We start from the raw sequence: 12,675 nt of genomic DNA on the forward strand, positions 1-12,675 counted from the left end.
TGCAGATGGCCAACAGGTATATGAAAAAATGTTCAACATCACTAATAATCAAGGAAATGCAAAATAAAACCACAATGAGATGTCATTCACACTTGTTAGAATGGCTATTACCAAAAGACAAAAGATAAGGGTTGGTCAGGATATGCAGAAGAGGGAACATTTGTGTGCCATTGATGGAAAGGTAAACTATTGTAGACATTTTGGAAAAACAGCTTAGAGATTACTCAAACAATTAAATATAGAACTACCATATGAAATCAACCTAAGTGTCCATCGACAGATAAATGAATAAGGAAAATGTGAGATAGATGAAAGATACAATAGATAGATAATAGATAGATGATAGATAGATAGATAGATAGATGATAGATACACACATATAATGGAATACTATTCAGCCTTTAAAAGGAAGAAAATTCTGTCATTTACAATAACATACATGAACCTTGAGAATACTGTGCTAAGTGAAATAAGACAGGCACAGAAAGACAACAGTGTCTTGATTTTACTTATATGTGGAATTCAAAATAGTCAAGTCCCATAGAAACAGAGGGTAAAATGGTGGTTACCAGAGGCTAGGGGGTCGGGGGTAGAGAGATGTTGGTCAAAAGAAACAAAATTTCTGTTAGTGGAAATAAGCCAAGAGATCTCTTGTACATCACGGTGACTATAGTTAATAACAATATATTGCATACTTGGAAATTGCAAAGAGAGTAAATTTTAAGTGTTCCCACTATAACGAAAACACATGTGAGGTAATGCATATGCTAAATACCTTGATTTAGCCTTTCCACAAGGTATGCGTATATTATATCAAAACATCATGTCATACACCATAAATATATATAATTTTTGTCCATTTAAAAACTAAATGAAATAGTCCCAATGCATATTATTAACTAGTGCAGCTAGGAAAATTAACTGTATAAAAATGTTTTGTGGGCCGTATGCGGTGGCTCACACCTGTAATATCAGCATTTTGGGAGGCCGAGTTGGGTGGATCACCTGAGGTCAGGAGTTTGAGACCAGCCTGGCCAACATGGTGAAACCCTGTCTCTACTAAAAATACAAAAATTAGCCAGTTGTGGTGGTGCACTCCTGTAATCCCAGCTACTCGAGAGGCTGAGGATTCAAGACAGTCGCTTGAATCCAGGAGGCAGAGGTTGCAGTGAGCCGAGATCATGCCATTGCACTCCAGCCTGAAAACGTTTTATGTATATTAATCAACATTCATTTGAGAGGTAACTACTGGATAAGGAATACTGATGTAATACTATTAATAATAGCTTACATTACATACCACTTACCACGTACCAGGGGCTATTCTAAGCACTTTACATTTAGCCCATGTAATGATTACTTCAATCACAAGAAGAGGGGTGCTTTTATCCTTATTTAATGGTGAAGAAAATTCAGGATTAGAGAGATTAAGTAATTAGCTCAAGGTCACATAAGCAACCCAGGCAGCTGGGCTCCCAGGTCACCATATAAGACAGAACAAAAGCAAGGCACGAAACAGCATGATCATTAAAGGAAGAAGAAAGCTCACCCTGGCAGTTTCCTTCTCAAGATGGAGAAGAGGTCAGAGTGAATTTGGAATATGATTCTTTGTATCTCTGGCCATCCATGTAAAAGCTGTTTTGGAAATGAGGTGCTCACAGAGGTGCCCCACTGCTGTCAGGGACTCGGGGAGGAAAATCCCTCTGAGTTATCCCACAGATTTAGCTGGACTAAGAAGAGAAACAGCCCACTCAAGGCGGTCTCCACTGGGAGTTTCTGAATAAGGGTAGAAAGAACACCCACTTCTTAACAGAACATCAAGCCTGAAAGGACGTTACCTCCAACTCCCTCCTACAGAGAATCATAGAATGAAAAGCTAAATGATAATAGGGACCTGCAGTGTAGACAGCTTCAAGAGCAATCTAACTCAGACAGCAGGATGGGGCGGAGGCTGCGCGGTGGCTGACAAGAGAGGCTCAGCTGCCCCTGTCGTTGGGCTCACTCCCCACTGGGTTGCCACAGGCCTATTTTTTTGGCAACGCTGTTGCCTATTTCCTGCTGCTATCATCTTGTCCTACATATCATAAAATGACTCCACTGAGTTCTTTCATAGAGGCTCTGCAACTATTCTGTGAATGGGAATTGGGACACATTGGCCATCACACGGATGCTAAAAACACAAAAAAGAATGGATGTTTTCTCCAGCTGCACGTAGGTCCTTTATCCTAATCCACATATAGATACCCTTGCATAGTGAAAAGAATCCTGGATTAGGCCTGGTGCACAAACTCTCAAGGTGATTTCAGACCAATTACATAAATTACATAGCCTTTTTATACCTCAGTTTCATCAGCTGTAAAATGGCAATAAAATGCCCTAACTCCTGCAAAGGGCCATAAAGGTATTATGAGAACCAAATGAAATAACATGCATGAAAGCCATTTGGAAGGGACAGATGACTGTACAAGGGCAAGGGGTTATTATTTCTCTGCACCTGTTACTACAGTGCTGCTGTAAGAAAACCCACATGCCTGCACAGGGGCCCAGCTTTGCAAACTAAGGATTGGAACAGCTCTGGCTGCCACACGAGACACCACAGATCTCACAGACTGGGTGGCTGAAAGAACAGAAATTTATTTTCTCACAGTTCTGAAGCTCGAAGTCCAAGGTCAAGGTGCTATCAAGATTGGTTTCTGGTGAGGCCTCTCTTCCTGGTTGGCAAACAGCCACCTTCTTGCTGTGTCTTCACATGGCCTTTCCTCTGTGCTCATGCATCCCTCGTGTCTCTGCCTCTTTTTCACTTGGTTTTGTTTCTTTTTTTGAGACAAGGTCCCACTCTATCACCCAGGCTGAAGTGCAGTGCGGGCTCAGTCACAGCTCACTGCAGCCTCGACCACCTGGGCTCAAGCAATCCTTCTGCCTCAGCCTCCAGAGTAGCTGGGACTGCAGTTGCATGCCACCATGCCCTGCTAATTATTTTATATTTTTTGTAGAAATGGGGTCTCACTGTGCTGCCCAGGCTGGTCTCGAACTCCTGGGCTCAGGTGATTCTCCCATCTTGGCTTTACAAAGTGCTGGGACTACAAATGCAAGCTACCAGACCCAGCCTCTGCCTCTTCTTATAAGAACACCAGTCCCATGGGATTAGAGCCCCAACCACATAACCTGATTTAACTTTAATTACCTTTTTAAAGTCTCTGTCTCTAAATATAGTCACACTGCGTGTTAGGGCTTCAGCAGATGAAGTTTAGGGGGACACAATTTAGTCCCTACATGACAAACACCCAGAGGGAGGAGCCGTTCGGCTGCATCTTCTTTGCACAGTCGGATGGTCTCTGCCCTATAGGGTCTCCTGTTGTCTGTAACAGAGTGTCCTAACTGAGTGCCAGGCTGAGGTTTTATTTTATTTATTTTATTTTATTTTTTAACTTTTATTTTTCTTAGAGACAGGGTCTCAATCTTGTCCCAGGCTGGAGTACAATGGCGCCATCATAGCTCACTGCAGCCTCAAATTCCTGGGCTCAAGAAATCCTCCCAGTCAGCCTCCCACGTAGCTGGGACTACTAATGTGTGCCACCAAGTCTGGCTAATTTTTTTTATTTTTCATAGAGACAGGGTCTCACTATGCTGCCCAAGATAATCCTGAACTCCTGGGCTCAAGCAATCCTCCTGCTTCAGCCTCCCAAACTGCTGGGAGTACAGGCATGAGCCACTATGCTGGGCTGGGATTCTATTTTGACTGTTTCTGGAACTGGAGAACTGGCTGTCACTTCAGGTATCCATTTACATAAATTAACATGCAGGAGGGTGCTCTGCTTTTTTAAAAATTTTTTTAATTTCCGTAGGTTTTGGGGTAACAGGTGGTATTTGGTTACATGAGTAAGTTCTTTAGTGGTGATTTGTGAGATTTTGGTGCACCCATCACCCAAGCAGTACACACTGAACCCAATTTGTAGTCTTTTATCCTTCACTCCCTTCCCACTCTTTCCACCTGAGTCCCCAAAGTCCATTGTGTCATTCTTATGCCTTTGCGTCCTCATAGTTTAACTCCCATTTATGAGTGAGAACATATGATGTTTGGTTTTCTGTTCCTGAGTTACTTCACTTAGAATAATAGTCTATGGTCCCATTCAGGTTGCTGCAAATACCATTAATTCATTCCTTTTTATGGCTGAGTAGTATTCCATCATATATATATATATTCCATCATATATATATTCTATCATATATATATATTCCATCATAAATACATATATATATCATATACTATATCAGGATAAACTTCATGGTTGGCTTGGAGCCCAGTGCAGGGAATGGTTAAAGGAGAAAGCTACAGGTGGGCTTAGAACCCATTATTCCTGGTACTTCCTGGATCAGAAGTGTGGGCACACTCAAAGATCAGCACCTCCAGCATGGGAAACTTTTAAGCATGAAGGCTTCTTCCAGTGGGTTCATGACCAAAACAAAGAAGAGATGAACAGTGCGGGTGTAGAGAAGTAACTATTTGGATAGGTGAATGCCCCAGATTTCAAGGGATAGATGGGAGAGGAGGAGGAGGAGGGACAGAGATAGTCTTTACAAGCGCATGAGCAAGAATACTTAAATATCAATATTTATATGACTTGTCTCCACAAGCTGGTGAGGCATGGGGCATTCAGGTTTTTATATGCTCATGATGTTAGATCTCAGGAAACAGATGGAAGAGGGGAAGGAGGAGAAGCAGAGAGGAGAAATTTCTGAAAGTGATTGGGGGTTATCTCCCCAGTCTAGGTAAAGATGAATCTTGCCTGTATTGATAGACATAGATTTACGGTGGACTCTACTGGCCCCGTATGTCCTGGGACTGGACACCTTAGTCAAGGGGCACTAGGGAATCTGCCAGTTCAAGAGTTGTAGCCACATAAAGGACCCAGGATTTCAGGGCTCTCATCTCCTCTTAAACAAGGTCAACAGAGTCAGAACACCTATTCTGATCTTGGCCTTTTAAATCTGACCACAGAAGTACATACTTGCTCTACCTGCTATACCAAGGATGTACAGCACAAGCTGCTGTGCCTATGGCCCAAATAGATGCCTCAGTGTAGAAATACCCTTGAACTTTGCTAATGCCTTAATGAGGGTAATGTTTTCCATGGATAACTCACTTGTTCATGCAAACACCACCTGAACAAAGCCCATAGGCTCAGCGCAGAGGCTGAGTGGCAATAGCCAAGTAATCCAGTTGTCCACGATGGAGCCTCAGGAACACAACTGTCATAGGCTCAGCATCCCCCTGGGCGTGGCTCTGCCACCAAAGGAGACAGCCGGAATGTGCAATGACTTAATTAGAATCCCGCACTCCAGCCAACAGGGGCTGGTGGGCGACAAGTTTGGAAACTGGCCTTGGGAAATGCCAATGAGAATAGCATCCATCTCCAGTCTGCTAGAAGATCTCAGGCAGGCAGGGAGGCTGAACCCTGAAGGAAGCTCATAATTTCAGAAGAAAAGAATCTTCATTAAGATCTCATGCTCACAATCTCTGAATGAGCTGAATTTTATTTCAAGAACACATTTTCCCCCAGCCCTGAAATAAGTGTGAACCGAACTGTGAAAAACAGACCTTGACCATATTGTTGTCACTACCAATTCACAGCAACAATCTTCAGTTTTGAATTATCACCCTCTATTTCTTTTTTGCATTGAAGGATTTGGAGATTACAGAAAAAAAAAAATCTGTAGCCAAGATGACTCAAAAAATTTCCATTTTAAAAATCTTGATCATTCTCATCCCCGCCTGTGGATCTGCGGAGTGTCACACTCTCCCATCAACGGTGCTCTCTGGTACATGCCTAATGAGAGGAGGCTCTCCCCTGGGCTTCTGGAGAGGTCTCTACAACATAACTGTGCCCTACATAATGAGAGAGAACTACCTGGGGATTTCCAGTCCTTAGCAAACCTCAAGTACAAACCAAGCTTGTTCTTTTCCATCATGTTCTAAGTCAATCTGAATGCATTACAAACCACAGAGTAGCAAATTGTATTTGATTATTTATAACCATAACATAAATGGAATAATGTAGGTCTTGTGAATTTTTTTCAATGACAGATAAGGCAAGGAACAGAAAATTCCCCAGTGGGGCTAAATGATTAATGCGTGATGAATTCATAACATCCTTGCATTTGACAATCTTTCTTGAAGGAGTTGAAACTAGTTTCCAGGGTACAATACGTACAGTTTTCCAAAACTTCTAAGTTTTTCTAGCCCTGAGCTCTCACCTAAACCATAGGAGTTCAGAGAAAGATATAAATTTTGAAGAAGACATATTTCTTTGCTCTGAACAACTCATCTTCTCATGGCAAAGGCCACAAAATAGCATCATCTCACCTGCTTCTAATTTGGTATAAAGGCAAAAAAAAAAATAATATGCCTAGGTATTTACTTAGAAAATCATGCTGTAAGAATATTTTGAGAGGAAAGCTAGTCTTATGAGTTACTATCTGTCATTGGCTTCCCATGATTAAAGGTAGGGTACCTATGCAACTGGACAGACCACATCAAAGACTTCATTAGGCCTGCAGGTACAGTGTCATGTGGTGCTCTGAAGTTAATATACTTTCATTTGATTAAAGTCCAGACTCCTGCCAAAATAGCAATATGGAAACAGCAATGCTGTTCTCTGCTCCCTCCCCTTGGATAGCTCTCTTTTTTGTGAAGCTTCTGATAACTGGACAACAAACTCTTTGTGGTGGTGGTGGTGTCATTGTTACGGCCAGCTTGTGTTAACTATATGCTTTGCACTGTGCCCAAACTTTCATACATTTTATCTCATTTACTCATCACGTTGAGACTGTGGGATGGATTTTAATGATAAGGAAGCAGGTGCCTGTACCACCAAAAGGAAGGGACACAGCCAGGGGGTGAAGTGTGGAGTATGAAGCCCAGTCTAGAAAGTAAGGCTAGACTGCCTTTCTTTTTTCTTTTTCTTTTTCTTTTCTTTTTTTTTTTTTTTGAGACAGTCTCGCTCTTGTCGCCTAGGCTAGAGTGCAATGGCACAATGTCCGCTCACTGCAACCTCCGCCTCCCAGGTTCAGGTGATTCTCCTGCCTCAGCCTCCTGAGTAGCTGGGATTACAGGCACCCACCACCACGCCTGGCTAATTTTTGCATTTTTAGTAGAGACGGGATTTCACCATGTTGGCCAGGCTGGTCTTGAACTCCTGACCTCAGGTGATCCGCCCGCCTCAGCCTCCCCAAAGTGCTGTGATTACCGGCGTAAGCCACTGCCACCAGCCTAGACTGCCTTTCTGTGCCAACTTCCTACTGTCCACTTCAGCAAGTGGGGAAGAAACCCAAATCAGATTTGCCAGGAAAGTCATTCAAGTCCGTGGCCTCAAAGGCCCTCTCTTCAGCACAGAGACATGCAAAAGATATGTTGACCTGAGAAATGGTAGCTGCTATCATTTAGAGCGAAATCTAAGGAGAAAAAAATAGCTGGCTTGTTTCATTCTGTTCCTAAACTTCAACATCCTGACAAAGCAGTCTAAAGGAGTTCAAGCCCTGCCCTACCCCACTAAAGCATTCATAATCCTATCCTATTCCCCTAAGGGTTACAACAACCAAGATCTTACATTCTAGCAAAGGGGAAGAGGGAAACAGTACATACGAGAAGCCTCCACCGCCACAGTGCAAGAATCCTTTTCAAGAACACCTGCACTTCCATGGGCGGACATGGAAGCTGTAAGTAATTGCCTATAAAGCAAACATTAAGGCTGTGAGCCCTGCTAACACTTCCCTCTCACATGTGCAAATGGGTTACACATAGGATGCACAAAACTATTCCATGGAGAGAAATCTGTTCCGTCAGCCATACGTGCAGAGCCCTGCACATCTTCTCCCCTGAGCAGGGTAAATGACAATAACTACCCTCACCTCCAGACGAGAATGTGTTAGAAACCTAAGACCTCTATTATACCTAGAATTAGGAACAGAATATCCAATGGGCCTACACAAGCAGCTGTGCATTCTGAACTCAGACAGCAAATTGACATGAAGTTGCTGCTGAAACAAGCAAGTTTGCCACAGTGCTATGTGTACAATACCCTTTCTAAGAAGTAGCAAAACTCTGTGGTTTCACAATCAGATTGGCACCATTTGTACCCTATCTGTATGCTCCTGTTTTATGGCATTCTCTGACGTTATCCAAAGTAAACTGTCCACATTTTAATGTATTTTCATATGCTTTATTTTCCAGAGTTGGGACAAGAAGTAACTTTGCCTAATCCAAAATTCAGTTGGCAGGTATCCAAACACCAAAGTACTTTCCTCTGGCAACATTTTGTGTGGTAGGAGGACAGAAACGTATACAAAAAGCAGCCAGGAGGCTGCAGGGATGCTGATGTCTCTGAAATTTAGACTTTTTTCTCCTTTACTGCTAACTTTCAGAAGTAATTAGGGCACTCATTTCTAAGCTAATGCCTTCTAATGGTCACTTAATTCTGGACAAACTGCAGAGTAGAATGCTTTTGAAACTAGAATTAATTGTTTAAAAGACATTATTGGGATTAGTCTGGTAAATGTAGAAAGAAAAAAAGACCTTTTACTGAGACATTAAAAATAATGAAGTTCCCTCCAGTCCCAAACCTAATACATTTTGTGGGTTTCTTTTTTTCTTTTTCTTTTCTTTTTTTTTTCTTCCTGGAAGTAATCGGCCAGGGAATGAAGCAATACCAGAGACCTCTCCACCTGTTAATAGGCATTCAGTGATGTTTCCTACCGTCATATCAGATCAGTCCTACTAAGAAAGAGAAGACACATAGCTAAGACTGCCATACTGCAATTATTTTTCTCTTTTATTTCAAAAAACATCCATCTAATCACTGCTGTGCTCAGAGTTCTTGAGAAAGCTGTACAAGGTACAAAGGGCAGGAAGTGACAGTCCCCTGAGGCTCACAGTCTATTGAAGGACAACGGCATATAAATAGCAAGGGACGCCAAGGCATATGCTATAATAATAGAAGCACGGCTAAGATTCTATAACAGTCAATAAAGTGAGGGAATTTTGAATGGAAAAAAAACTATGAAGGCTTAAAACCTTTAAGTGCATTTAGGCCCCCAGTAGTTCAGTAAAGAAAGGAAGGGACTATGCCAGGCACAAGGACAGTGAGAGTGAAGCCACAAATGTAGAAAAGTCAGCATGGAGCACAGGGTGTGGGAATGAGAGAGGGGCAACATCATGGAATACAAGGTTACACTGTGGCTGTGCCAAAGAAAGTTCCAAATGCTACATAAAGAGTTGGGACTTTGGACATTGGTATATAGACAATAGTGAACGGTTTTGAGTAGGAAACTACTATGAAGTGACGAGTTGAAGTTGGTGTGTTGAGTTTCTTTATTTGCCCTGGGAAAGATAAGGCAGGTATAATTGAAGCATGATGAGGAAAAGGGAGGAAGAACCACTGGGAGAAAAAGACAGAACGGCAGGGCTAGGATCACCAGTCACACACATTTCTGCTTTGCCATCTTGGTTGGAGCAAGCCTGTTCATTCTCCTTTATCTCTTTTCTTGTTTCCTCTTTATTGTTAAGTGTTGGCTTTCTCATCTCTTTAACATCATTACGATATTTAAACATCACTTCAAAATTGAGTCACCAGACCTGACTTCCATTGTGAGTTTTCATCCCAAACTTTTGCATGCCTGCTTGCCATGTGAAGAGGGATGTTCTATTGATCCTCAAACTTGACAGCCAAATTGAATTAATCTCCCACTAGATCCCTGATTTTCTTCCATCTTCTCATCATTTAACATTTAACATTTAACACCACCTCAATCCTCCAAATCACCCAGAGTACAATTACAAAGTTATTTTAGACTGTGCTTTCACTCAACTCATCAACATACCATATGTTGTCTAATCCTACTACAAAACCTCTTTTAATATCTATACATCTATCTGGTTCATTTCATCTCCTCTAGCATAGATCGATTTCAAGTCTGCCTGCATTTTTTACCCCCTAGACTCTCAGAATAGTTTCTTACTCGGTTTCCTTGTCTCCAGTCTCTTCCCTCACTAATCTCTCTCTCACTACACAGCCTAAAACACTGATCAGATGGTGTAAGGCTCTTCCTCACAAGCCTCAGATGTCTTCCCATTGGCTACGCAATGAAGGCAACCACCTGAGTGAGTAGCATACAAGTCTTGAATGATTGGCCAAAACCTCCAACCAATCTCTCCATGCTTTCTGGATCACCCATCCCCCAGACACACTGTTCAACTCAATGTCTTGCCTCCACCTACATCTTTCTCTCAAAGTTTGCCTATTGAAATTCTATGTGTTTTTCAAGCCCTAGCTCAGATATTGCCTCTTCCACAAAACCTTTCTTCCCCAGTCCCAGATCAATCAATCACTACTTTCTCTTTGCATATACACAATTATCCAATAGTATTATTTCTGTCTGTTATTTACCATTTTCTACGTGTTTTCTCTTCTCAATTATAAATTCCTTGAGTGCGGTAGACATGTCACATTCATCAATATATCCTGTGATAACTGGAATAACGTTTTGCAAGTAATAGGTTCTGAAAGAATAAATGCCAGTTTGGTTTATTTTTAAATTTGTTCCCAGGCATTAAAATTTCTAGGATTGCAGGTTTCCTGATGGAGATTCAGATCCACCTGTCAAAAGGGAAAGTGTTTGCTAAGTAATTTCAGCCTTAAATTTCCAATGGTTGATCAAATATATATGAAGTCCTAACTATTCATTTCATTAATAGTTTACTTAGTTACTCACTAAAAATATTTACTAAACATTTACTTTGCTCCTAGTACTGTTCTAGATGCTATAGATTAGGTGATGAATAAGACTAGTGTGGTTCAACTTCCTCCAGTTTTCATTCTAATGAGGAAATCGATTTTTTTAAGTAATACATTAAAACAAGTTTATATAGAAATACAAGGTGGAGGCTGGGCATGGTGGCTCACGCCTGTAATCCCAGCACTTTGGGAAGCTGAGGCAGGTGGATCACCTGAGGTCAGGAGTTCAAGATCAGCCTGGCCAACATGGTGAAAACTCGTCTCTACTAAAAATATAAAAATTTGCTGAGCATGGTGGTGCGTGCCTGTAATCCCAGCTACTTGGGAGGCTGAGGCACGAGAATTGCTTGAACTGGGGAGGCAGAGGTTGCAATGACCTGAGATCACACCATCTCACTCCAGCCTGGGTGACAAGAGCCAAACTCCATCTTAAAAAAAAAAGAAAAGAAATACAAGGTGGACAATAAAACAGAATAATAAGACAGAGAGTTACTTGGGTGGTCAGGGAAAGGCTCTATAAGGAGACGACATTTCAGCTGATAGGCTATTCCATCATTCTATAAAGCCGGGTGCTTTTGGGTAATGGGGATATTGCATGATAGAACCAGTGACTCCCTAGTGATGGGCAACATGGATCACATGGTCGCCTGCTGTTTGTGATCAAGCATTCAATCTATACCAGCTCCCAGGGACATCAGTCTTCTCCTCTTCCTTCTCCTCTTCTTCCTTCTCTTCCTCATCCTCCTTCTTTTTCTTTGTCTCTAAGTGAGTTTCTGAGTCACAAGCAGTGGTGTATGGTAGGCTATGATGATGCTTCCCTCTTCAAGATGGAAAGCCTGCCACCAGATTACTACTGTCTACTCACACCTGCCCCAGGGATATAATATGATATCAAAATTTCAAGACTGCTCACTGCTGCTGATTAGGCTCTTGAGATGGCAGCATCCAGATGAACTTTACTGACTAAAAGTCCAAGTTATTGAAGCTATCCTCAGCCTCCATCTTTCCTGCCATGCTTCCTTTGGTCAAGAGCCCATGAAGGACCCTGAAATACTTGGACAATGAGGTTTAACTAATAACCACAATGATGCTCTTCTCAACAACCTAATAACTGAGGCATATTTCTGTCGTGGAATCTGTTTGGTGAGCATTCATATCAGCAGCAAATATCTCACTCTGGACCCATTCCAATAAGTCCATCTACATATTTCCCTTCAAATTTCATTGTCAACAGCCCTCTAATATTTTTCTTTCCATGTCTCCAACCACACCATGAACCACACCATGAACCACTGCACATGCCACACCATGCCACACCATGAACCACTGCACATGCCCTGAAATAGATTCTTATCTCAGGTTCTCTCTTCTTCCTGACAGTGTAGTTATGAGATCTTCTACCCAAAGTTATTTGTACTGGAAAGATGTTCTTTTTCCACTCCCCTCAGGACCACCTGTGATAAATGCAGCTGTAATAACACAGCAGTCCATTTCCAGGGGGACCAGCACACTCATACTAAGCAGAGCCATCTGTAAACCTGGCTTTAAAATTGTTCCTCTGTAGCCATCTTTTCATAGGGACCTCCAATGAGGTATTAAGGCAGATTAAACAGGGGGTTGCAGTGAGGCAGGAATAGCCATACTGGGAATGTGAGCTGTGTGCTTATGGAATTGCCTTGTTCTTTCACAACGTGCTTGGTCTCTGTCTCATAAACCCTATTTTCATATGATGAAGACACGCTGGACATATCAGATTTTATGGCAATGGCAATCCGACAATCCTTACTCATGATGGGCAGCATGAATCACATGGTCTCCTACTGTTTGTGATCAGGCATTCAATCTATACCAGATCCCAGCATTCAAACAAAACAAAAACAAAACC

This window comes from Homo sapiens, chromosome 10 (assembly GCF_000001405.40).
Source record: "Homo sapiens chromosome 10, GRCh38.p14 Primary Assembly".
Taxonomy (NCBI): domain Eukaryota; kingdom Metazoa; phylum Chordata; class Mammalia; order Primates; family Hominidae; genus Homo; species Homo sapiens.